The sequence below is a fragment of the Homo sapiens genome, chromosome 9 (genome assembly GCF_000001405.40).
Source record: "Homo sapiens chromosome 9, GRCh38.p14 Primary Assembly".
NCBI classification, from domain to species: domain Eukaryota; kingdom Metazoa; phylum Chordata; class Mammalia; order Primates; family Hominidae; genus Homo; species Homo sapiens.
The window spans coordinates 94,870,227-94,897,327 of record NC_000009.12 but is presented as its reverse complement, the minus strand read 5'-3'; the positions used below and the strand labels follow the sequence as shown (position 1 = coordinate 94,897,327).

The 27,101-nt window shown below is 39.4% G+C and overlaps 1 protein-coding gene across 51 annotated transcripts in view, besides 2 other annotated features; it reads right to left on the bottom strand.

Annotated features, from left to right (window-relative positions):
• AOPEP (aminopeptidase O (putative)) overlaps positions 1 to 27,101 on the bottom strand; it is a 423,526-nt gene that overhangs the window by 252,897 nt on the left and 143,528 nt on the right. Inside the window, exon 6 of one of the 51 annotated variants that reach the window (XM_011519130.3) lies at positions 22,005 to 22,676. The exons of the other annotated variants lie outside the window; for them this stretch is intronic. Within the exon in view, the coding sequence (XP_011517432.1) occupies positions 22,538 to 22,676 (139 nt within the window). The 3' untranslated portion in view covers positions 22,005 to 22,537. Of the gene's footprint in view, positions 1 to 22,004; positions 22,677 to 27,101 lie in introns of those variants that run through there. 51 annotated transcript variants of the gene reach the window in all.
• Positions 8,599 to 8,768: an enhancer, noted in NCBI's record as "experimental_110405 CRE fragment used in MPRA reporter constructs". NCBI's record gives its function as "activates a minimal promoter by MPRAs in K562 erythroleukemia cells, with activity observed for both the introgressed and non-introgressed 9:97650927 variant alleles {active_cell/tissue: K562}" and the evidence as "EXISTENCE:reporter gene assay evidence [ECO:0000049][PMID:34662402]".
• Positions 25,092 to 25,591: an enhancer, noted in NCBI's record as "H3K27ac hESC enhancer chr9:97634019-97634518 (GRCh37/hg19 assembly coordinates)". NCBI's record gives its function as "activates a minimal SCP1, AML or CMV promoter by ChIP-STARR-seq in primed H9 embryonic stem cells {active_cell/tissue: H9 hESC(primed)}" and the evidence as "EXISTENCE:reporter gene assay evidence [ECO:0000049][PMID:30033119]".

The following is a 27,101-nucleotide window of genomic DNA, read 5'->3' as shown; positions in this document are numbered from 1 at the left end:
TTCTTCATTGATTTGAAATGCTCATTTCATCATATAAAAAAATCTGAATGTATTTGACTTTATTTTTGAGTTTTATTCTTTTACATTTCAAGGGCTTAATTTAACTTCTCAAGCAACAAACTATTCTGATTAATATATCTTTATAACATGTTTTAGATAGAAATATAATAGAACCCCTCATCATTACTCTTCAAAATTTTTTCCCATTCATCCTCACATTTATTTTTTCAGATGACTTTTTTAAACCTTTCCAAAAATATATATTTACATGTACATGACCAGGGAAATTTACTGAGGACAAACTATACACCTTATGTTTCACATTCAAATTTTGGTGCTTTTTAATTTAAATAAACATTTTACTTTAGTTTTAGAAACACAAAAGTTAAAACCAAAAACCAAAAAAAAAAAAAAAAACCCACAAAAGTTGAGACATTTGTCAAAATGTACAATGCTAATACAATTAACCAATATTAATATGTCATTATTAAAGTCTGTAGTTCACTCCGAATTCCTTAGTTTTTACCAGAATACCACATAACATTTAGTCTTCATGTCTCCTTAGGCTTCTCTTGCTTGAGACAGTTTCTCAGACATTCCTAGATTTTGATGACCTTGACAGTTTTAAGGTGTAATGGTCAAGTACTTTACAGAATGTCCTTCAATTTAGGTTTGTCTGAGATTTTTCAGTTAGACATGGGTTATAGGTTTTTAGGAAAAAGAATAGAGATATAAAGTGCGTTCTCATCACATCACATCAAGGAACCTGCTATCAACATGACATCACTGTTGATGCTAACCTTGATCACCCCGCAGAAGCAGCAGTCCAGTCTGTCAGGTTTCTCCACTGTAACGTTATTCTTTCCCCCCACTTTCCCTACTGTGACCTTTGGAAGGAAGTCACTATACACAGTCCACACTTAAGAGGCAGGGCATTATGTCCCATCTCCTCGGAAGGGGAGCATCTACATGCAGTATTTGGAATTCAGTACAGGAGATTCTTATTTATTCATTCCATAATTTATTCATATCATATAGACTCATAAGCATTTCTTTTCTGTGCTTTTCTAAATGGGAGCTCTTCTTCCATTATAACTGTTTGTTTGTAAATCAGAAAATGAATGATTTTTAAGAAGTTTATTTTGTAACCATCCATCTTATCGAGTTGTATTGTTTCTATTTTCCATTCAGTTGATCATCTTGGTTTTCCTATGCATCCTCCGAAAATAATGATAATTTTGCTGCCTCCTTTCAATAATTCTACCTCTAATTTCTTTCATTTATCTATTAGTATTGTCTAGAATAGAGATAGGCAAACATTCTCCATAAAAGGATAGCAAATATTTTAGGCTTTATAACATACAACCTCTGTCACAACTACTCATTTCTGCAGTTGTGGCATGAAAGCAGCCACAGACAATACATAAATGACTGGGCAATGCTGTGCTCCAATAAAACTTTATTTAAAAAGCACAGCCGAGTGCAGGGGCTCACATCTGTAATCTCAGCACTTTGGGAGGCCGAGGCATGTGGATCACCTGTCAGGATTTCAAGACCAGCCTCTCAAACATAGTGAGACCCTGTCTCTACTAACAGTACAAAAATCAGCTACTCCAGAGGCTGAGGCATGAGAACTGCTTGAACCCAGGAGGCGGAGGCTGCAGTGAGCTGAGATCATGCCACTGCACTCCAACCTGGGTGACAGAGGGAGACTCTGTCTCAAAAAAAAGAAAAAAGAAAAAAGCAGGCACTTGGCTTACAGGTAGTTTACTAACCATGAGTCTAGAATCCAAATATTATTACATAGTGATGGTGATGGTAGGTACCTTGTCTTGTTTTAATCTTAACTTTAAATAGAATTTTCTTTTGTTGTTTCATTACTAATATAATGCTAGCTTTTTTTTTTTTTTTTTCCTTTTTGTGTGTGTGAGACAGGGTCTTGCTCTGTCACCTAGGCTGGAGTGCAGTGGCATGACCACAGCTCACTTTAGCCTTGACTTTCCAGGTTCAAGCAATCCTTCTACCTCAGCTTCCTGAGCAGCTGGGACTACAGGTGCACACCACCATGCCCAGCTATTTTTTTTTTTTATTTTATTTTATTTTTTTTTAGTAGAGATGAGGTTTCACTGTGTTGCTATGTTGCCCAGGCTACTCTCAAACTCCCAGACTCAAGCAATCCTCCTGCCTCGGCCTTCCAATGTGCTGGGATTACATGTGTGAGCCACCACATCCAGCCTCATGCTGCCTTTTGATTACAAATACACACACACACAAACACACAGAGAGAGAGTTTACATAACATTAAAGAAATATCACTTCGTCCTATTTTCTCTAGAAGTATTTATTAGAAATATTATTGAATTTTGCTAACTGCCTTATTTGCAACTACTGAGTTTTGACATATTTGACCTATAAATATAAGTTTTCCTAACACATTTCTTAAGATGGAACCATCCTTACACTTTTAGGATAAAACCCATCTAGTTTGGGTTTATCATGCTTTTGATATGTTATTGAGTTATGTATGTTGTTTGTTATTTTTACATTGATATTTACAAATAAGAGTAGCTTATAGTATGTTATTGTTCTGTCTAACTTGTCAGGTTATGGCATTAGTATTTTGCTGGTCATAAACATAATTTGAAAGCCTTCCTTTCTATGAAAATATCTTTACAGTTAGAACTGACCTGTTTATTGAAATTTTGAGCAAATTCACTTATGAAAGAAACTCTGTGGGTCTGGTGTTTTTCCAGGAAAAATTCTTTGCTAACTTTCTTCCATGGGTATTGTTTACTTAGGTTGTCTAATAATTCATTCGGTATCAATTTTTGGTGACTCATATGTTCTTAGAAAATCATTTATTTCAGTCAGATTGTCAAAATTCTTTGCTGAAAAGTTCACAAAGTACTATATATGATTCTTTTAATTTCCTCTGCATCTGTTACTATTTGTCACTTATGATTTCTAATCCTCTGGATTAGTGAGTTTTTCTCTTTCCCCTCTTAATGCAGTTAGCCAATGTTATCTCTGTTTTATTGGTTTTGGCAATAAATCAACTTTTGTATTTGTCAATTCTGGTTTTTCTCTCATATCTTCTAATTAATTCATATCTGCTTTGATCTTTCTTTCTTTTGCATTCTGTAGGTTGATTTTATTGTTGTTTTCTAACCTCAGAAGTGATGTTAGACTATACATTTTTCATCAAGAACAATTTTGGTGGCATTCCATAGATTGAGCTATATATTGTTTTCTAGATATTCTGCATTTTGGGGTTAATTTATTCTTTGACCCAAAAGTTCAGAGAGGTTTTAGTAGAAGAGGGATAAATTGTTCTTCTTTTATTATTTCCTCATTTTATTACCTTACTGCATTGTGACCAAAGATAGTCTTATTTCTACTTTTGAGGAACTGATTGACATTTTTAGCAAGTCTTCCAATGTGATTAATTTCTACAAATGTTCCATGAACTGTCAGTTTATAAAGCAGACAATTACACATTTTACATTTTTCTTTCTAAGAAGAGAATAATGTTATTTCTGTATTATTGGTTTCTTAAGAGAAAGAGACCTGTCTTGTTCATTTTCTAACTCTAACACCTGGTATTGTATTTGGTACATAGCTGTTGTTCAGTAAAGGTAGGCTGAATGAATGAATGCTGTCTGTATTCAATGGGTTTATGTTTCTGAGGTTAACTGGCTCTGGAAAGCCTCTCCTCACACAAGCACAAGACTGACTACTAAATCATTAGTTTTATAGGGATGCATGGCAAAATGAGCCAATAAGAAAGAACAGGATTTGACATGTAGGTTGTTAAAAACCTGGCTTATATACCTCTTTTTCTCAAATGTCTTCTCATTTCCTCATTTTATACTTACCTTTTCAGGCTCGAGTCTGGACTCATCCATGAAACCAGGCCACCTGCCCTTCCTGACCCCTCCTTCACTCCTCCCGTGCCCTCACTGACTAGACTCATTCTGCATGCCATCCAATGGGCCTTACACTGCTACCTGGCTATTTCCTGTGTCTTTATCTTCCCGGTAAAACTATAAGCAACTTGAGTGTCTTATGTTCCCTTCTATCCTATAATGCACCCAAAAGGGTGTTCAATAAATGACTGCTGGAGCAACAAGAGAAAAGCTAAGAGAAAATAATACTCTAGAGTTCAGTTGCCATTCTACCACGTCACAGTCTTGTGACCTTAGTGAAGTAATTTCACACTCTAGGTCTCAGTTTTCTATAAGGGTCTTCTCAAGGCTTAAAAAATGCAATCATTCTGTCATATATTTGATTATACAAAGCAGAGAGAGGCACTATATCAAGAAAATAGCATAAAACATCCAAGTGAGGTAGCTAACCCCTGGAATCCCAGCACTTTGGGAGGCTGAAGTGGGAAGATTGCTTGAGGTCAGGTGTTCAAGACAAGCCTGGGCAACCTAGCAAGAAACAATTAGTCAGGTGACGTGGCCTGTATCTCTAGTCCTACCTACTTGACAGGCTGAGGCAGGAGGATTGCTTGAGCCTAGGAGTTCAAGACTCCAGTGAGCCATTCTGGTACCAATACACTCCAGGCTCAGTGACAGAGCAAGACCCTCCCTCTTTAAAAAATAATAGAAAGAAAAAGAAAACAGCATAAAACATTCTAGTTAGCCAAATGACAACAGGACAATAGCACCTTCACTCTACACAGAAGTCAGCACCTGCTCCATGGTTTCTTTTCTCTTCACCCTCCAAATGAGGCCATCTCACAGAAACTATCCTCAGCCCTCACTCTTCCTTCTTGCTCCACTCAGAGAATTTATGGCTGTCACTAACATGTCTGTCTCTTAATCTGCCCCTTTCTGGGCCTGCTTCTTCCAGCGAGCTCTATGTAGCCAACTTCTGGGTGTTTTGAGTGAACTTGATAGCATAGTGGAGATAGAATCAATGAATCTGACAGCAGATCAATAAAATTTACTCAATTTGAACAACAGTGAGAAAATAGAAAAAAATGAACACTGCTTCAGGGTTCTGTGGGAAAATAATAAAAGATCTAAATTCATATCATAAAGGTCTCAGAAAGAGAGGAGGAAGGGAGTAGATTTGAAAACTTCTCAAGTTTGGCAAAAGACATAAACCTACAGTTTCAAGAAGCTGAGTAAGTCCCAAATAGGATAAACCCAAAGAAACCCATGCCAAGATAAATTAGGATTAAACTTCTGAAAACAAAAGACAAAGAAAAAAAATCTTGAAAACACAGGGAAATTACACATTATCTATAAGTAAATACTAATTTGAAAGACAGTGGTTGTCCCATCTGAAACTATGGAGGCCAAAAGGAAGATGCATAATATTTTTCAAGTGCTGAAAGAAATATCAACCCTAAATCCTTTCAGAAATAATGGGGAAATAAAGACATTCTAAGATAAAGGATTAAGAGAAATTGTTGCTAGCAGACCCACCTTTAAAGAATAGTTAAAGGAAGCTCTTCTTAACAAAAAGGAAATAATAACAGAAGAAGGTTGGGACATTCAGAAAGGAAAGAAGAAAAGAATGAGTAAAAATGTAATAGCCTATTCTTCACCTTATGGGTTTTAAAAATCTTATTTTATGGTTGAACAAAAGTTATAACACTACCTAATATGACACACAATGTATCTAGAGGAAACACCTAAGACAAAATATATTTCAGAAGTGAGGAGGGTAAAGGTATCTAAATGGAAGAGTTCTGCATTTCCCTTTAAGGGGTAAAATGTCAAAAACAGTAGGCTGCCATAAGTTACATATGTATATGGTATTGCATGAAAGAACCACTAAAAAAATCTGTAAAATGCAATATGCTAAAAAAATCAAAATGAAAAGCAAGATAAAAGAAACAGAAGAATAACAAAACAAGCATAAAATAAAAATAAAATGGCTAACTTAAGCCCTAGCATATCATAATTACATTAAATATAAATGGCCTAAATATGCCAATTTAAAAGTAAAACCCAACCCAACTATAGAAGAAACTGTAAGAAATTCACTTCAAGCGTAACAACATAGGTAGGTTGAAAGTGACAGGATAGAAAAAGATATATCATGCAAATATTAATCCAAAAAAGCAGGAGTGGCTATATTACTATCAGATAAAGTAGACTAAGTAGACTTCTGAGCAAAGAAAAGTAAAAAAGACAAACATTACTCTCTGCCAAGAAGCTATAGCTATCCTAAATGTGTATGCACTAAACAAGAGCTTAAAAGTACATGAGGTAGAAACTGATAAAGCTAAAAGGAGAAACCGGCAATCTACAATTGTAGTTGGTTATTTCAGTACCCTGCTTTCAGCAATTCATAGAACTACTTGACAGAAAATCAGCAAGGATCTAGAAAAGCTGACCATCAACCAACAAGATCAAATTGGCATTTAAAGAAGGCTCTACCCAACAACAGTAGAATACATATTCTTTTCAAGCACCCATGGAACATTCACCACAACAGGCCCTGAGTCACAAAACAAATATTAACAAATTTAAAATAATTCAAATCATAGAGAATATATTCTCTGGCCTTAATGGAATGAAACTAGAAAGAAATCAATAGAAAATCTCCAAACACTTGGAAATTAAACAATAACACATAATAATGCATGGATCAAAGAGTGTCAAAAATTTAAAAATACACAGAACTGAATGAAAAAACCAAAGTTTGTGGGATGCAGCTAAAGCAATGTGGAGAAGCGAATGTATAGAACTGCTGACATTAGAAAAAAAGGAAAGATCTACAAACAATTTTTTAAAAAGAGCAGAATAAACCCACAGCAAACAGAAGGAAGGAAATAGTAAAGATTAGAACACAAATCACTGAAAATGAAAACTCTCAAAACTGCATATTAAAAATCAAATAATACAGCCAGGCATAGTGGCTCATGCCTGTAATCCCAGCACTTTGGGAGGCTGAGGCGGGTGGATCACCTGAGGTCAGGAGTTCAAGACCAGCCTGACCAATATGTGTGGGGAGCAGGAGCCTGTAATCCCAGCTACTTGGAAGGCTGAGGCAGGAGAATTGCTTGAACCCAGGAGGCGGAGGTTGCAGTTAGCCGAGATCATGCCACTGCGCTCCAGCCTGGGTGACAGAGCAAGGCTCCGTTTCAAAAAAAAACAAAAAAACCACAAAAATTAGCCAGGCATAGTGGTGCGCACCTGTAGTCCCAGCTACTCGGGAGGCTGAGGCAGGAGAATTGCTTGAACCTGAGAGGCAGAGGTTGCAGTGAGCCAAGACCATCACACCACTGCACTCCAGCCTGGTCGACAGAGTGAGACTCTGTATCAAAAAAAAAAAAAAAAATCAAGTAATACAATTAGAACATGGGCAAAAGATATGCACAGATACTTCAAAGAGGATATACAGATGGCACTTAAGCACATAAAAATATTCAACATAATTAGCCATTATAGAAATGTGAATTAAAACCACAATGTGGTACCACTACATACCTATCTGATTGGCTAAAATTACAAAGTGGTAACACTAAATGATGGTGACGATGTGGAAAGACTGAATCACTCATACACTGCTAGAAGAAATGTAAAACGGCACATTTCTTTGAGAAATAGTTTTAAACTGAAAAGGGGCTTACCATATGACCCACAATTGAACTGTCTTGGGTATTTATCTAGAGAACTGAAAAATTATTTTCATGCAGAAATTTGTACATGATGACCAGGTGCGGTGGCTCACACCTGTAATCCTAGCACTTTGGGAGGCCAAGGTGGGAGGATCACTTGACCCCAGGAGGTCGAGGCTGCAGTGAGCTATGATGGTACCACTGCACTCCAGCCTGGGTGATAGAGCAAGACTCCATCTCCAAAAACAAACAACAACAAAAAGAAACTTGCACATGAATGTTCATAACAGTTTTATTTGTAACATCCAAATAGGGAAAATTGTCCAAATGTCTTTGGTGGTGAATGGTTAAACAAACTGTGGTATATTCATACCATGAAATTCTACTCAGCAGTAAAAAGGAACAAACTTTTGATACATACAGTAGATTGAATTAATCTCAAAAAAATTATGCTGAGTGAAAAAGACTAATTTTAAAAAGATATAGCACTTTGGGAGGCCAAGGCGGGTGGATCACTTGAGGTCAGGAGTTTGAGACCAGCCTGGCCAACATGGTGAAACCCCATCTCTACTAAAAATACAAAAATTAGCCGGGCGTGGTGGTGGGCACCTGTAATACCAGCTACTCAGGAGGCTGAGGCAGGAGAATCGCTTGAGCCCAGGAGACAGAGGTTGCAGTGAGCTGAGATCACGCCACTGCAAAAAGGAGAACAGAGGAGAGGTTTCGAGGGGCAGGGGAGAGGAAGCCGCCGCTAGAGCTCTAAGCAAGTTATATGAGGGAGCCTTGAGGCAATGGTATACCACAGTCATGTGGTGGTGGTTACATGTGGTGGTGGCAGCTTCATGCATGATAAAATCACCTAGAACTATACACGTACACATGCAGAGAGAAAATAATGCATGTATAACTGTTGTAGTCTCATCAGTGTACCAAGATGTAATAGTCTCTTGTTGTCTGAGATAGTAGTCCCTTTACTCATGTCCAAGAGAACTAAGGACTAAACACGTTCCTTCCCCTTCCCAGTCCATAAAAACCCTAGACCCCAACCTCATAGGGGACAACCCATTCAGGCCTCACCTTCCACTACAAAAAACTTTCTTTGACTTATTAAAGTTTCACTCCACCCTTGTGTCCACACTCCTTAATTCTCTTAGATGTGAGACAAAGAACTCCAGGTACCATCTCAGACAACGACAGACTAGTACATCTTGATACATTGACAAGACTACAACATAACTGCTGAAATCTGAATAAATTGTGGATTACACCAATGTGAATTTGCTGGTTTTGATACTGTATTGTGGTTATACAAGATGTTAACACTATGGAAGGCTGACTGATGGGTACATAGGCCCTCCTTGTACAGGTCTTTGCAACTTTCTGTGACTCTATAATTATTTCAAAATAAAAAGTACACACACACACACACACACACACACACACACACACACGGTAAGGTTCTTCATGATTCCATCTCAATTTATTCCTTGGATTCACATCACTTGAGGTCACTATGGACAAAATGTTTAAAGTCTCATTTTGTGGAGAAGAGAATAAAACTATAATTGGTTGACACAGTCACCTCAGCTGTTATGGAGAGATTTTCTCGCTTATTTTCATTTTCACTCCTTGACTTGTCACTTATCAAATTAGTTAGGTGCTACTATAATTAAAATAATCCTCTTTTTAAGATGTAATATTGGATAAAAAGGTGAAAGTTTAGTGAACAAACATATTTTCAATAGTCAAAGCAAACAATGGCCTTATACTTGGATAGCTTTCAACATGACAAATCCTTTCCCAATAAAACCCACTGCTCACTGCCTAATGAAGGAAATTTCCAGTGTTTACACTGAATTTCTGTAGAGGCTTGTTTCACTTAAACATGCGCAGCCCTAGTTTCTCTGTATGGACTGAAGTTTCAGAAAAAAAAAGCCTAATTTGCTTTCATTACTTCAGATATGTTGACACCACTCTGTGCACAGGTCTATCTGTCCTGTCTGCCCGTGGACAGGAAAGAGAGGACCGAGTTATCTCACTGATTTGGTCTTCCAATGTGACTTCCAGCAAAAACTTATGAAAATGCAATAGCAGTAACACTGACATGGTACCTGCCCTCCCAACACTCTCAATCTAGTAGCAGCCTCTTGATAGGTTTAGCACTTTAGAGTTTATGTCATTTCACTTCATCTTTAATCCAACTTAAGAAGTAAGTAGTAGAAGCCCCATCTTACAGGCATCAGAGGTAAGGCTTGGAAAGGTCAAATGACTTGTCCCAGGTCATAAAATACCAGGACTTCCAACTCAAGTACAATGCTTATGCCATTATACCATGGAATTCCATCCTGTGTGAATTTAACTTACATGAATTATTATTATTATTATTATTATTATTTTGGAGACAGGGTCTGGCTCTGTCGCCTAGGCTGGAGTGCAATGGTGCAATCTTAGCTCACTGTAACCTCTGCCTCCCAGGCTCAAGCCATCCTCCCACCTCAGCTCCCCAAGTAGCTGGGACTACAGGTGCATGCCACCATACTTGACTAATTTTTTTTTAATTTTTTGTAGAGACGGGGGGGGTCTCACTTTGTTTCCTAGGCTGGTCTCGAACTCCTGAGCTCAAGGGATCCACTCACCTTGGCCTCCCAAAGTGCTGGGATTACAGGCATGAGCTACTATACCTAGCCTTACCTGACATGAGTTAAACTACGCCCACTCATAATAATGAAACAGAGACTAATAATTTAAATAGTACCATGAAACAACACTTGGCATGTATATTTCATTATGGACTGTATTTTAATCTATATTACCCATTCATACTAAGCAACAGATTTATATATACAAACCCATATATAACTGTATTTTAATCTATATTACACATTCATATTAAGCAACAGATTTATATATACAAACCCATATATAGTATATATTGTGGGTACTTTAAAGAATTTTCAGGATGATTGCAACTATTGGGATTTTTAGACTTATGAGCTTAATTTAAAATGTTGTACAAACCTTGCATAAAATGTGACTGCACTGTTCCACAACAATTCAAGAATGCAAAGTAACAGAAAACAATCAAACTGTAGGAAATCAGTCTAAACACTTTTTCTAAGAAAATCTTGCATAATATTATCTTTTTATTTTTCTTAATGCTAACTCAGAAACTAATATGTTTGTTGCAAAAAATTTGAAAAGAAAAAAATTCATAGTGAGCCATTTATATTCTGAATTTTAAAAATTATCACAAGTTTGCCTTCTTAAATATGTAACATAAACTAGTGTGACAATCTTCTTCAAGAACATTGGTAAATGCTTAGGCTTATAAAACCACATGAATAAAAAGGATTTTTTAACCTTTTCTGTAGGCGTAATTATATAGGTATCTTTTCTAAAGCATTAAGACTAAGTTTTTATAAATCAGCTTATGGACGTCTCAGGAATGTTCACACACCCAACACAGCACACCTGGTCCCTGGCTCTATTTTCTTTGTGTACTTTAGAAAGTAGCTAGGAAATTTCACTGCCCAGCACCTGACAGATGCCCTGGCTTCTGCTTCTCCTTTGGGCTAGCTTTTTCATCAATTTTCTATTGCTTTCACCCTTGGGTTCCATACAGACCTCTCCATTGTCCACAAAGCTTTGTGGTTTTAATTTTACCAACACCTTTTTTGTAGTACTCTACTAACCTCAGGTCATACTGATACTAATCCTGGCCACTGAACCAAGAGAGTAAATATGGATTTTACAATGGTGGGTCAGTTGTTCGTTACTGAACAGAGAACTCTGCGATCTTCTGGCACTGCCCTGATTTCATACAATTATATCCTTTTCAATAAAGGCAACTCTTTAAATATACAACCAAATTAATTTAATTTTTATTATTTTATAATACTTTTCATACAGAAAGCTTTTGTAAATCAGAAAAAATAATGTTTAGGCCACACACTCCAATTCTGCTAGCAAAATATGATTACTATACATGTATTTTATCTACTTGATCTGTCTATTCCAGTGGTTCTTAACCCAAGAATGCAAAACCATGTAGGCACTTATGGATGGGTTTTGGCTTGATGAAGACTACTCAGCAAAATTCACATTCTCCTCTTGTTCCTGGGCTCAAAGTGTTAGGCTACATGTCCCAGCTTCCCCTGCAGTTAGCTGTGGCCATGTGAGTTCTAGCTGAGGAATGCGAGTAGGAGTGACACCAGCCAGCACCAGGCCTGGCTGATAAAAACTTCCTGTGTGTATTCCTCCATGCTTTTTCCCTTTAGCCACGTGCATTCAGTAAATAACTAATATAGGATATATTTGTATTTTTCAGTACAAAATAATAATGCTAGCACAATGTCTTTTTTTTTTTTTTTTTTTTTTTTTTTTTTTTTTTTTTTTTTGAGACAGGATCTCACTCTGTCACCCAGGCTGCAGTGCAGTTGTATGATCTTGGCTCACTATAGCCTCAACTTCCCAGGCTCAAGCGATCCTCCCACTTCAGCCTACCAAGTAGCTAGGACTACAGGTACACATCACTGTGCCTGGCTAATTTTTGTATGTTTTGTAGAGATGGGGTTCCTCCATGTTGCCTAGGCTAGTCTATAAGTCCTGGGTTCAAGTGATCCACCCTCCTCATCCTCTCCAAGTGCTGGGATTACAGGCGTGAGCCACTGCATGCGGCAAGCACAAATGTTAATATAGCACTTTGCACCAGTGTCTGATTTTTTTTTTTTTTTTTTTGAGACGGAGTCTCGCTCTGTCGCCCAGGCTGGAGTGCAGTGGTGCGATCTCGGCTCACTGCAAGCTCCGCCTCCCGGGTTCACGCCATTCTCCTGCCTCAGCCTCCCGAGTAGCTGGGACTACAGGCGCCCGCCACCACGCCCAGCTAATTTTTATATTTTTAATAGAGACGGGTTTCACCATGTTGGCCAGGATGGTCTCGATCTCCTGACCTCGTGATCCGCCCGCCTCGGCCTCCCAAAGTGCTGGGATTACAGGCGTGAGCCACCGCGCCCGGCCAGTGCCTGATTTAAGAGCTATACATGCATTTACTCGCTTCATCTTAACAACGCTGTGAGATAGGTATGGTAGTAATATCATCCCCACTTTTTGGATGACGAAACTGAAGTTTGGGGAGGTTACGTAACTTCTATCACACAGTTAACTCGTAGCAGGTCTGGGGGTCTGGGGTTGGCACCCTGCGGTCCTGCTCCAGAGCCTGTGCACTGTGCTGTACAGCCTCTTTATATCCCAAGTCTTTCCTGGTGGTAGTGTTTCATGTTTGTGATTATGCCAAGTTAGCCTTAATGTCTATTTGGTCAGAACATCCTTACTGGCTAACAGCATCTCATTTTCAACTTTCCTAGTCTCACTGAGGTACCACAGGCCAATTCCGTACAAACTCATTCCTTAGCTGGTAGAATAGCTATCTTGGGTTTGAATTTCAAAGTCTCACGTAAGCACCCTTAATTGTTTTTTGTTAACAATTGTACCCACTGATATCAAGGAACAATCTGAGACAAAGGAAAAAGTAAACAGGGCTATTAGAAGGAATTTAATGGTTTCTTCTTCTCGCCATCTGTCTCAGAATCAGGAGGGCAAAGGCTTCGGATTGGGGCTTCTTTGTGCTGATGAGGACAGACACCCAGAGGGCAGGTCCAAGCAGCTCTCTGCCTTCCAAGGCAGGTGCGCATGAAGCAGGGATGCCCCTCGTGAAATGTCAAGGTAGAAGCAACCCATGAGGAAACTCTATCTTGGGGTCTAGTCCTGATGGATCAAGGGGTGGCCAGAAGTTTGCTCTGGGTCCCAGTTTTCAGAATATTGACGGGGATGGAGGTCCCACAATACCCACCATTCTGTGTGGTCTCCTGGCTCATCCTCTTCACATGGTCTTCAGTATGTCAGATACAATTTCTCAGATCTCTAGGTCAACCCTCAACTTATGTTTAACATTTTAAACTAACATCCTCTGCCATCAACTGAAACTGTCTCATAAGAATAAACTTATGTTAGATGAGAGAAATATATTTTTCTGATACTTAGAGGTACTTATTCTTAGAACTTTATTACTCTAATACATCATGATCTATACTGTTAAATCCAACTAAAATTTGTTCTGAGAAAGCCTTGGTATTAATACTTGCTTCCTTGAGTTCTTCAGTCTGAATTGTAACTTAACTTAGTGTGTAACAAACTGAAAACCTGAGGAGTTTCTTCTGTAACAAAAGCTGAGCCTCAGCCCATCACTCTAGCCACACTTCAACCATTGACAGGCAGCCAACTGTTCAAACTCCCTTAACATACTGGCAAAGTCAAGCTGGAACCAGTCCAGCTGTTTATGTACCTCATTTTCCTTTTTCTTTTTTTGGTCCATAAATCTTATCTGCTCATGTGGTAGCCCCAAAGTTTCTCTGAATCTGTTTTGATTCTGAAGGCTGTTCGATTTGCAAATCATTTTTTTCCTTGCTCAATTAAACTCTGTTAAATGTGTCTAAAGTTTTTCTTTCATCAGATCTGGAGTAGAAGTGAAGAGTGAAGTACAATTCCAGTGACTCCTTGGAACAGCAGGCAACGAAGCGGGGCACCTGCAGAGCCAATTGTGTGCGCTCTCTTGTTTGTAACTGGAGGTTTGTGGGTGAGTTTTCTCTCAAATCCCAAGCTCCACTGACTTGTGTTCTCAGCTCCCTGAGTTGATGTAAGCAGTATTTATACTGCACTGGGTATAGCATCAGATTGAATTTAGAAGCCCCAGACTTCAGATAAGTAACTTTTTGATAATGTGTTCATATCAATCCAAAGAATCAGAGACTGTAGCTTCTGAGACTCCAGCTAAATTTATCCGTAAAAATTATGGGTCCACAATGTACGTATTTTTGGAAAAACGGGTTAACCTTTCTGGAGACAACTTAGAATTAAGATGACCACAATAGGGAAGTTTGGTTTTTATTTTCTGTTTTTTGTTTTGCTTTGTTTTTTTGAGACGGAGTCTCGCGACGCCCAGGCTGGAATGCAATGGCACAATCTTGGCTCACTGCAACTTCCGCCTTCTGCGTTCAAGAGATTCTCCTGCCTCAGCCTCCCCAGGAGCTGGGATTACAGGCTCCCACCACCACATCCAGCTAATTTTTGTATTTTTAGTAGAGACTGGGTTTCAACATACTAGCCAGGCTGGTCTTGAACTCCTGACCTCAAGTGATCCACCTGCCTTGGCCTCCCAAAGTGCTGGGATTACAGGCGTGAGCCACCCCACCCAGCCAATAGTTAAGTTTTATTTTGGATAAGATTGTTTAGTTGGGAGGCGTATTAGAAAAAAGGGGATTTTAAAAACCCCACAAAACAATGAGATGTGTTCTTTAATTGGTATGCAAGGCATCTAAAAGGCTAAACAAATTAAAAATTGCCTCCTTAAATGATTCTTTGCAAAAAGCAAGCAAACATTTTAAACAACAGACTAAGAACATGACGAAAGAGGACTGTACTCTGAAATAACCCTGTTTCCTCTCTTTACCCATCTCTACCTAAATAATTTGCTCCACTAATCTTCTAGTCAAATTACCCTTTCACCCTTTAAAGATGACGAAAAAAGAGAAGTTGGACAGATGTCTTACAAAGTAAGAGCTTGTGATCAGCCAGGCCTTCCCGCCATAACCACCTTCACTCCATGTTCTAAAGCTGAGCTTAGAGCCATAGTAAAGGACTCCCTAGCCCAAGGGGAAGTCCTCAAAAATTTACTCATAAGAGCTTACAATCCAGGACTCCCTGACCTTTACCAGTTTATTCACATGATACTGGGACCTGTGGAAGCTTGAAAATGAGTGACAGCTGCAGAATGGAGCCAACCTGAGGAGGGTATTAAAGACCCCTCCAAAACCCCCTCACAGGAATGGCTGAAATAAGCTAGAAACATTGCCAAAATCATTTTAGATTCAATTCCTAAGATTTTTCCACACAAAAAAATTGACTGGTCCACCATACAGACAAAAGAAGTTTCGGACGACAGAACTCACTTAGAAACACTGCTTGTGAAGCATTTGGGGCTCAAAATAACAGCAAGGAATATTTCCTGCAGGAACTGCATCAACTACTCTATTTATAAATGGACTCTGTCCCAAACTTAGCAGTTTAATTAAAAAAACATAAACCTGGATGGGAAGTTACAGACATGACTGAATTGGTGGCCTTAGCTGAACATTTTGAGAGGACTCTGGAGCAAGAAAAAACCCAAAAGACTACCAAGCTTATGTCTCACCAATTACAACAGTTACAGGGGCTGAGACCAAAGGAACCTTCTTTTTTATTTTAAATCACAACCAAGAGATAGATCCTAGAACAAGAAATTCTTTTCCCCGAGATGTCTGCCTTCCTTGCAAATAAGCAGGACACTGGAAAAGAGTTGTCTGCTTCTCTGTTAGTCTACCAATAAGCCTCCTCCCATTAGGCCACACTGTTTCACCACTAAAGGAAGCCTAAGACAGATCCTGTGTCTTAAAAAAAAAAAAAAAATAGAAGCAGCAGCAGCCACCAAGTTGCTACAAGTTTCATCTGAGCTGGTTTTAGGGAATGAACTTAATTTGCAAATTCCACATGCTGTGGAAAGTCTATTAAATTCCAACCAAGCTCAGCATTTTTCAGCAAGAAAACTAACATCTTATGATCTTATGAAATTTTCTCCTGCCTCCTTCTGACCTCCATCTAAAATGCTACTCCATCTAAAACCTACTTAACCCTGCTACTCCATTACCTCTGACTGACTGTGGTAAAGATCACAATTGTGTAGGTGTAGTATCCAAACTAGTAGCCCCTTGTGTTGATTTATGAGATGCTCCATTGGATAATCCTGAGTTGATACTTTTTGTTCGTGGGTCCTATGCCAAAGTCTCAGAAGGAAAATATCAGGCAGGGTATGTTGTTACTGCCCAAAATGAGTTAATAGAGAAGGGAACTCTTCCTCAATTTAAGTCCGCTCAGCTGGCAGAGCTTTTTGCTCCCACCCAAGCTTGTCATATAGTTAAGGACACGTCAGTAAATATTTAAAAAGATAGCAGATATGCTTTTAGAGTAGTACACAATTTTGGCACATTATGGAAACAATGGGACCAGGTGCGATGGCTCATGCCTGTAATCCCAACACTTTGGGATGCCAAGGCAGGCAGACTGCTTGAGCCCAGAAGTTCAAAACCAGCCTGGGCAACATGGCAAAACCCCTTCTCTACAAATTATCTTGGCATGGTGACTTGCGCCTGTAGTCCCAGCTACTCTGGGGGCTGAGGTGGGAGGATGGGTTGAGCCTGGGAGGTCGACGCTGCAGTGAGCCATGGTCACGCCATGGCACTCCAGCCTGGGCAACAGAGAGAGACCCTGTCTAAAAAAAAAAAAAGAAAAGAAAAAAAGAAAAAGAAAAAGAAAAAAAAAGACAAATATGCATAATAAAAATTACATTATTAAAAAATAAACAATAGGGGTTTCTCACTTCTATTGGGACTCCAGTTAGATGAACTCCTTTCAGCTATCCTGTTAACACTGTTATCATCACAGATCGTTATGATTAAGATTGAAGATGATACCTGTAAAACTGAATCTGAATATCAAAGGAATGCCCTAGCCGATGTGCATGTTAAATCAGCTAGTGCTGACACTGTGAGAATATGCAATCTGAATGAACTCCATAAGACTGATCCAAATCAACTCCCATACGGTGATCTATTTAATAAACAGTGCAATGCATTTAATTTGGAAAAACAAAGTTGGTATCTAAAAAAATGTAAATTCAATGTTAAGCGTGGATTCACAAAGGGCCTGACAACCACTTGGTCCTTCCTGAGTCTTTAAAGCTTCCGTTGTTAAAAGGCCTGCACTCCACAACTCATCATGGAACACACAAAATGATCCAAATTATAAAAAAAATTGGTGAGGTATATGTTCCAAAACTGCTAAAATGGGTTACAACCAATGTTTGATTTACCAAACTCATAATCCGAGGAAAACAATAAAAACTTCAGATAGTATATTTCCACCATCTGATGGACCATTTGAACATTTACAAATGGACTTTATTCAGTTATCGCCCTTGCTGAGGTATCAGTTTTTGTAATAGTTTGTATGTTTTCTGGTCAAATCGAGTCTTTCTTTGTAGAAAAGCTGGTGCTGTGCCAGCAGCTAAGAAATTATTAGAAAATGTTTTTCCTTTATGGGGTATTCCTGGAGAAATCTCCAGCTATAGATAGGGAAACTCATTTTACTGGGTAAGTTAAAAGCAGTTAAATAAGGTGTTGTGGATGCAGTGATACTACCATTGCCTTTATCACCCTCAGTCTTCTGGAAATGAAACCACACTTGCAAAATTATAACTGAGACAGTGAAAGAGATCTGAGCTAACCAACTCCATCTTGTTTCTAACCTCCAAGCTGTCCTTGTTCATTCCTGCACATATGCTGAACTAACTTTGGGAATTACTTAGTTTATAGTTTAAAACAAAGATGCTAACAACCCTTTCCCAAAACAAACCTCCTTCTTGCCTGGGTACTAGACGGCCTTTTTAGGACTAATAAATTAGCCTGAAGATTAGAAATTGTAGTTTAGGAGTCATACAGCTGGAGGCTACAAGATTCCAACCCTCCCTAAACTGCTCCTAAGATCAGTGCTTGAGATATTTTGCAGACCCTGGATCAGCTGTCACCACCCAGATTGATAAACTGGCTCATCTGATCTTGTGGTCCCCACCCAGGAACTGACTCAGCACAAGAAGACAGCTGAGTTCTTCCACCCACCCAATTACCCTTAAAAACTCTGATCCTCGAATGCTGAGGAAACTGATTTGAGTAATAATAAAACTCCGGTCTCCCACAAAGCCAGCTCTGCGTGAATTACTCTTTCTCTATTGCAATTCCCCTGTCTTGATAAATCAGCTCTGTCTAGGCAGTGGGCAAGGGGAACCCACTGGGCAGTTACAGAAAGGCTGAAAGAACAAATGGTATCTTAAAACTGAAATTGGCAAAGTTAGCTGAGCCAATTGGGTTGTCTTGGCCAAAGGTACTACTGTTGGCATTAAATGGCAATCAGATCCACTCCCACTGGAAAACATAAGTTGGCCCCTTATGAAATAGTCACTGGAAACGTATGCCCCTAATAGTAGAACCTAATGGATGTTCCACTCTCCTAAACTCTGATATGACTAAATAACGCAAGGTTTTAATGCATTATGCCAAAGTGTATTTTTACCAGGTACAGGAAGCTTTTTGTGATCCACTGACTAAGTACAATCAAATCCTTCATGGTCTAGAGCCTGGAAATTGGGTCTTCGGGAAATAACATCAGAGGAAGACTGCCCTTGAACCCTGTTGGAAAGGACCACACCAAGTTCTTCTCACACCCACACCTGTAACCTTGGGTCCACATCTCACAACACAAAAGGGCCCCTTCAGACTCTTAGAACACCTGTTGGAGACTTTAAGGTAAAGCTGACCAGGAATACTTCTCCCCGAAAGTGGACAGCATCCTAGATGCGGACAGCTTTCCCAAGATCACAGATCAAGACTTTTCTGCCATTATGAAAGCCTTGTGCTTTTTGCTTTTTTCCTCTAATCTTTTATCCCAATACTTTCCTTTTTCCTACAGGAAAATCCATGGGACCATAATCACTAGATGGCATTAGCTCTACCTTATGTTCTAGCACAAAACCAGAGTAACTGTTGGGTTTGTGGGCAAATGCCAAAAAATCAGAAAACAATTCCATTGATGCCTCTCCATGTTCCCAATGGCAGTGATTCAAACTCCAAAGGAGGAGGGAGTGGAAACCTATCCTTGATATTCTAAAAATGACTGCTTCATTTGCTTTCCTGCACTCGCTAGAAACAGCACTTTAACTTTTCCAATGAATAACCTGGTTGTTACCAAACATAGAAAACCTATCCAAGTGATGCCTGCAAAAGGTATATTGTGCTTCTAGACATCACGCACTTGAGACCTGGGAATTAGCTATATGGATACAAGTAATTGCTTGTATAATGTTACCAGATTAAATCCAGTAGGAGGTTGGGAACAGTGGCTCATGCCTGTAATTCTAGCACTTTAGGAGGCCAAGGTGGGCAGATCACTTGAGGTCAGGAGTTCCAGACCAGCCTGGCCAACATGGTGAAACCCTGTCTCTACTAAAAATACAAAAGTTAGCCAGGTATGGTGCTGGGCGCCTGTAGTCCCAGTTACTCCAGAGCCTGGGGCAGAGAATCGCTTGAGCCCAGAGGCAGAGGTTGCAGTAAGCCGAGATCGCACCACTGCACTCCAGCCTGGGCGACACAGCAAAACTGTCTCAAAAAAAAAAAAAAAGAAAAGAAAAAAAAATCCAGTAGGGTCATTTTTTTACTAAATGTGGCTATACACCCTTACCGCATGCTATAAACGAACCCAAAAAAGTACATTACCCACTGAACTTTGTTCAGGAGCTATGCAGATTTACAGACAAATAAATTTAACTGACCCTTGCACAAATGCAACTAGGTAACCCTCTTTTCCAATCCCCATGGGCTTCTATTGGGTCTGAGGAAAATCTGCTTCCTGTCTGGTTTGGATGTTGCTATTTAGCCTGGCTCACTCCGGCCATTCAAATAGCTTCCCCTACAAATTCCCATAACAGCTCCTAGGATCAGAGGCCAAAATAATCAATAACTGAAATTACCCCCAACCTTAAAATAGATAAACTATTTTCAACTAAGAAGAAACTCCGGTGGGGCTCCTGGGGGCTCACTTTTGGCAGTAGTGGGGTATCAGTTGTATAGAATTTAAAGATAATCTGTAAATTGGGAAAAATCTTGGATTTTGTAGACAGTCAGACCTCCCAGGGGTTCAGATGGGTAGATGTCCCTCTCTGAAAGGTGGATAACAATATATGCATTCAACCAAAACACTTAATGGAACATCATGCAACTTTAGGGCTCCTTTTTGCTCTAGTTGGGGGCTTATATTTGGTACTGAGGAAAACTGAGTATCTCTCCCCTGATTTTGTTACTACAGAAGGCTTAATTTAAAAGGTAGCCTTAGATACTGCCACCAAACATACTAAGGAAATTAATCTCCTAAAAGAAGGGAACACGGCTAGGTGCAGTGGTTCACGCCTGTAATCCCAGCACTTTGGGAGGCCAAGGCAGGCAGATCACGAGGTCAGGAGATCGAGACCAACCTGGCTAACACGGTGAAACCTCGTCTCTACTAAAAATACAAAAAATTAGCCAGGTGTGGTGGCGGGTGCCTGTAGTCCCAGCTACTCGGGAGGCTGAGGCAGAAGAATGGTGTGAACCCAGGAGGTGGAGCTTGCAGTGAGCCAAGATCGCGCCATTGCACTCCAGCCTGGGGGATAAAGCGAGACTCCATCTCCAAAAAAAAAAAAAAGAAAAGAAAAGAAAAAGCAACTGATGTGTTTATGAGAGCAACTAACAGTTGGTCTGCAGGCATCCTCAATGGTGGATGGCAAGCTTGGGTTTTCCAAGGTTTTGTCATCTTTAAATATATTCTAGGTATGTCTCCGGGTTATTATGACTTGTGTTACCAGGCTAACAATGAAAATGAATACCTCTTTCAATCAGGCCATTATACAAGCAACTGTGGTCCTTAATCACCATCAGACCCTGAACAAGGACTATGACCAATTAGACTCAAATACTGTTGAACTGCCTATATTGCCTCAATTGTGACTTGTTTCATTTGGTTTGGTTTGTTTCATAAGAATGCTTGTGAACTCCTTGCTCTTTTGATATCATCCTCTTGGAAGTCATCATAATAGTAACTCTGGTGCCTTGTGTCTTCTCACGTCTTAAATGTTTTGTATGCAGCTATCTATTGAGTGTTGAATGGTCTCACTTCAACTAGGTAAGTAAGAAAGAATTATTCAGCTAGTTTCACATTGTCATCTGTGAATTCCATACTCAGAACAAAGGAGTCATTTACAACTGTAATGAGAGTGGTGCCCATGCTCAGAATTTAGGTTAATCTCTCAAAACTGAGAGGCCGACCAAACAGGTGGAATTCTGAAATCAAACTAAAATTTAGCCTGAGAAAGCATACGTACTCACCTACTTCAGTTCTTAGAAATGAACTACAATCTTAGTACATAACAAACTGAAAACGTAACTGAGGAGTGTGCTTCTATAACAATGGCTCAGCCAACCACTCCAGCCTTACTTCAACCACTCACAGGTGGCCAACTATTCAAACTGTCTTCAAATAAGGCAAAGGTCGAGGTATAAACCAATTCAGCTGTTTCTCTACCTTACTTCTGTTTTCTGTGTATCACTTTCCTTTTTCTGGTCCATAAATCTTATCTGACCATGTGGCAGCCCAAGTCTCTGAATCCATTTTGACTCTGGGAGCTGCCTGATTTCATGAGTCTTTTTTTTTTTTTTTTTTTTTTTTTCTTGCTCAATTAAACTCTGTTAAATTTAATTTGTCTAAGTTTTTATTTTAACAAGACATATAAACAGTACTTTCATACCATTCTTTAACTGGAAGTGAAGTAATTAAAAATCATGTGGGTGAAAAAACATGGACCCTGGGTTGAAAAATAACCCCCAACACAACTCACTGCTTTAACACCCTAAAGGGTAGCAGAAAGGCTACTGATTTTACCTATCAAAGAAAATTGGAAAGATAAGGCTAAATCTTGAGACTATTAATAAATAAAATCTTAATGCATACTTCATAAAACTTCCAATTACTGGCAGCCTATTTTCCCACCTTTGGCCTGGGAAATATTTCCAGAGGAATTCTTCAGCCAAGAATCCATCCTTGAGCCCCTTACACAGGTGAAAGGCATGCATTCATGTTTGGCAGGATATTATAAATAATATAGTTGCCTTGTTAAAAAATAAATAAGGAAATACTGATTAAAATGTCAATTCAGCAAAGCAAGTCTGCCTTCTGTATCTTGGAATAATTTAAGGCTCAAATCTTCTGAATGCCTTTCTGGACTGTTCAAAATATGTAGAGATTTCCGTCTCTGGTTTTTGAGTCGTAGCATGTGTTATTGGGAATTGGAAGAACTTTTCTGTGGCTCCTGCCTTCATCACACTGAGTTCCTAGTGGGTTGGGACCAAGCCATATTTCTTCTGGCCTTTAACAAGAAATAAAAAATAAAATAAAATTTAAAAAAAGAAAAAGGGAAGAAATCAAAACAATAATTCTTTTAAAAAAAGCATCCGCATACCTTAGGACACAGTGAGTTCTTTGAAACCAAATGGAAGCAGAATTACTGCCCAATCTGCTAAGTGTGTCACGGATTGATGAGTCAACATTTCAAAAGTGCTTGAAAGTTCTTAGATGAAAGACCACAGATCTGTATAAAGTATTATCATTATAAAAATAACTCGATTTTCCTGTGGCTTTTTTTTTAAAGGAATGTTCTTTTAGATGCTGTTTGTAACCAACTTTCTCTTTAAAAAATAATAAAAACCTCTGAAAGTGGGATATTCTTGTAGAAAAATATTAAATCATTAGTACTTTTCCTGGATTAAAAAAGGGAGTGGAGACTGAGCAATGCCTTTGAGAACACTCACAGTGCTGCCTGGTATATAACATTGGAGAACTGTATAATGCTTTTTGAAAAATTTATAATCATATCTAATGACTCATTAAATACAAAAATTTCTAATCACATTTTTATTTTTTCAATTCAATATTAAAGTGAACCCATATTTCTCCATGATCACAAAATAAAACATAGTTATTTCTAATATACTTTACATGTTTCCTATCATTCTTCCTTTTTTGTGTGTATACATCCCAGGTATACACAAAAAGGAATGTACTCAATAAACTACTAATAGTTTATTCATCCTCCATTGAGAGAAGATGTATAATCTTCTCACTTTACTGTGTGTAGTGGCTATAACTTGACTAAACATGTCAGCAATATATATCATTTACTGAAACTTCTACTACCTGAAAATTTGTATAGCATCTTGATGAAACAAAGAATAAGACAATATCATATCAAAGAAGTTGCTTGAAAAAATATTAAGCATTCGGTCACTCTTTGTTCAATCAATATATTAAATATGTAAACATAATAAACCAAAGGAAACTAAATTTGTTCTTTAAGGTCTACAAATAACTGCTCAGATTCTTCAGGTTGATTCATAATTTCTCATGAATAAACCAGATACAAAGGAAGGGAGAAATGATGTGAAGGCAGCAGTTTCCCTCTTCTGTCTCTTCTTTGAATCTGTGCAAAGTCCCCAGCTCCTTCTCAGAGTTATCTCCTAACCACTCATGCAACTGTTATTTATCAAGTTATGCTCTGGCTCCAAAGATGTCAGGTGCTTCCCAACATAATAAGATAAGGACCACACCACATATTTGTTAATTCCAAAGAATTCTGGAATCAGGACTTTCAAATTATATTCTTGGTCAAAAGGTATAACACTGTCTTTCGTAGTCTTTGAAGTAAGACAAGTAAAAATAGAAGCTTGGGGAAAGCATTCAAGTATTTTATCTGGGAGGTTTCTCCTAAATTTCCTTTGGCCATGAATCCAAAGCATTTCTGACAGATAACTGGACTAGAAACAATGCCCCTGGAAACCATCAGCCAGTATTCCCACCCATTAATTAGGTGATTCATTTTCAGTTTTTTCCTCCCTGTTTTTTTTCCCCTCATATCCTTTCCCCACCCTTTCCTTGTTGCCTTCTCTTTGGATCATCGGCTCCTCTGCTATCCGCCTCAACCTATTTATTTGTGTTATACTTCACTGCCCCTGGATATATTTCCTTTCCTTATTGCCTCTCCTGGACTCTGGGTTCCTCTTTGACAAATCTTCCTGCCTGGCTACTTAACCTGCCAGTAAAGACCTTAACCCTCTTGTGAGTGAGAAAGCTCTCTGGATGCCTCCCGTGACTGCCCCGACTTCCAGTGATTTTTATTTTCCTTAAAGTTTTAAGGCACCAATGATTGCACTTAATGGCTGTTTGTTCATCTTTCACGTCTTTTCTTTCCAAATGAGTAGGCAGCTACTTGAGAAGAGGAAATATTTTATCTAGCTCTTGGAAAATATACCATCCATATAAATGTAATGAAGCATTCACAAACTGAGCAGGATGGTGCACACATCTCACCGAGTAAGTTATTGCCTCATTTGGGGATAACAGGATTTGAGGTTAAAGGAGTTTTAGATATTAAAGTCTTTTACTGAAGAATATAGGAGACACGGTGGTATGAGAAGCTCACTGATGGAACATAGAACTTTTGCCTTAAAGAGGCATGTCTGCTGCTTGTTGAGTTAATGATCCAGAATCATGTGGGACTTGGGTTTTGAAATCCCTCCTAGGGGTTCTGAGAACATGCACTCATGAGCCCCGGGTTTGGGCCCATTTTTGCCATGTAATTCTCTGAGTAGCGATGTAAGGCAACCTTTCTTGGCCTGTTTCCGCCTCTGTAAAATGAGGGGTTAGACAGATGACCTTTAAAAACCAACCAACCAAAAGAAAAACACGACTGAAGAATGACTACTGCCCCCGTTTAGATCTCTGCCAGAGTGCGTGATGGTTCGCCCTGCCATCGATCCATTTTAAACACACGCCTCACTTGTAGGATCACTTATTCATATACCCAGAAAAACTCATCCCAAAAAGACCTGGGGGAGGAAAGTGACACGGAAATTCTAGACACTACTTTTGCTGACTCTAGAACCATATGTTTCCTATAGGTGTCTTGCTGAGCTAGAAAAAACTAGGAGGAAAATTTCGTCTTTTTTTTCTTCTTTGAGACAGGGTCTCCCTCTGTTGCCCAGGCTGGAGTGCAGTGGCACAATCAGGGCTCACTGCTGCTTCGACCTCCCCAAGCTCAGATGATCCTCCCACCTCAGCCTCCCGAGTAGCTGGGACTACAAGCACACACAAACATGCCTGGTTAACTTTAGTATTTTGTATAGAGACAGGGTTTTGCCATGTTGCCTAGGCTGGTTTCAAACTCCTGGGCTCAAGTGATCCACTGGCCTCAGCCTCTGAAAGTGCTGGGATTACAGGCGTGAACCACCATGCCCAGCCCATATTTCTTGTTACTTTGATGAATGAGATGCAAGATAGGAAAAAAAAAATTAACCAAACTTCAGTACCAATAAATATCAGATAGGCAAAATACTTTTAAGTCTGTAACAATCAAGTTGATAAGAGGTTGCAGAAATTCAAGTGTGCTGGAATGCCAATCTGACACTCCAACATTAGTAAAACCAAAAACAGCACATGCTGAGCTACTTTCTTCAATCAGACAATCTCTGTGGTAAAGGAAATGGGATCAAAATATCAAGATGAGCATGCCATTGGCTTGAGGTATGTGTCAGATTTATTGTGGCCAAGAAGATTAAAATCAGCCACCATTACGCAGGGTGGTATGTCCCGCACTCAGATGTCAGGAAGTCTGAAAATCATGTGATCAAACCAGAGAGGTTCCTGGGTAGATGATAAATAAAAGACATGTTTAAAACAGAGGCCTGTAGATAAAGTGATCACTTGAGTGGTGGCATTACCTGTGCCTGTGGTTAAGAGAGCAAAGCTAAAGATAGCAAGTTGAATCAAGGTCATATGAAAGGATATAATAAGAGTGAGTAGAAAGGCTGCTGACACAGGCTCAAAAATATGGTGTCAGGGTGGGGCATCAGAATGCCCTCCAGGCTACAGACCTTTGCAGAGAATGGAACTGGGAGTCGCGCCTGCGCCCACACCCACATTAGGAAGAGTGGAGGAGGAGGGCTGAAAAAGGAGTGGAAAGAAAGAGGAACAGCCCACATGTGCACTACTTTACTGCTGAGGGAGCGGACAATGGCCTAGTCCAATCAGGGCAGAGAGAGGAGGGCAGCAGCCCGAACACCCTTATGAAGGCCAGCCAGACACAGACAGACCTCAAGTAGGGCAGCGATCCTTTGAAGCCAAAGGCAGGTCTATAAAAACCCAAAAGATAGTGACTTTAATTTTTCTGGCTCTTCCTTAGAAACCACATAACCACTAACATTTTACTACTTTTCCCACTTGGCCGACCCAGATCCAACTTATATCTTCACTATCCGCAAATGTCACAGCGTACATCTAGTCATCACCTGGCACCAGGCACCAGTGGTGACCCCTGCCTGAGACAAGGCTGGCTCACTGCTAAACTGTAGCATCAGCAAGCTTGGCTTACTGGAATATGTGCAGTCCTGCCTCTGTAGCCTCTGGGTTCAAATACCAGCCTTCCCATCACCAAATCTGGGACCTTGAGGGAACTTTGTGTCTAAACTTCTCATTTATAAAATAAAACAAATACCTATCATTTGGGGTTGTTGTGAGGACTGAATGGGATTTGAATGTATGTAAGCCACTCAGCATCTGCCAGACAGACTGGTAGTCTAGAAATGAAAATGATTATTATTAATTCTCGATACTCTTCTCCTTAAAAAAATTCATGTTTTGACTGCCCCCCTTCCCTTTTAAAATAATTAATGTCTTCAGCTGGGCGCGGTGGCTCACGCCTCTAATCCCAACACTTTGGGAGGCGGAGGCGGGCAGATCA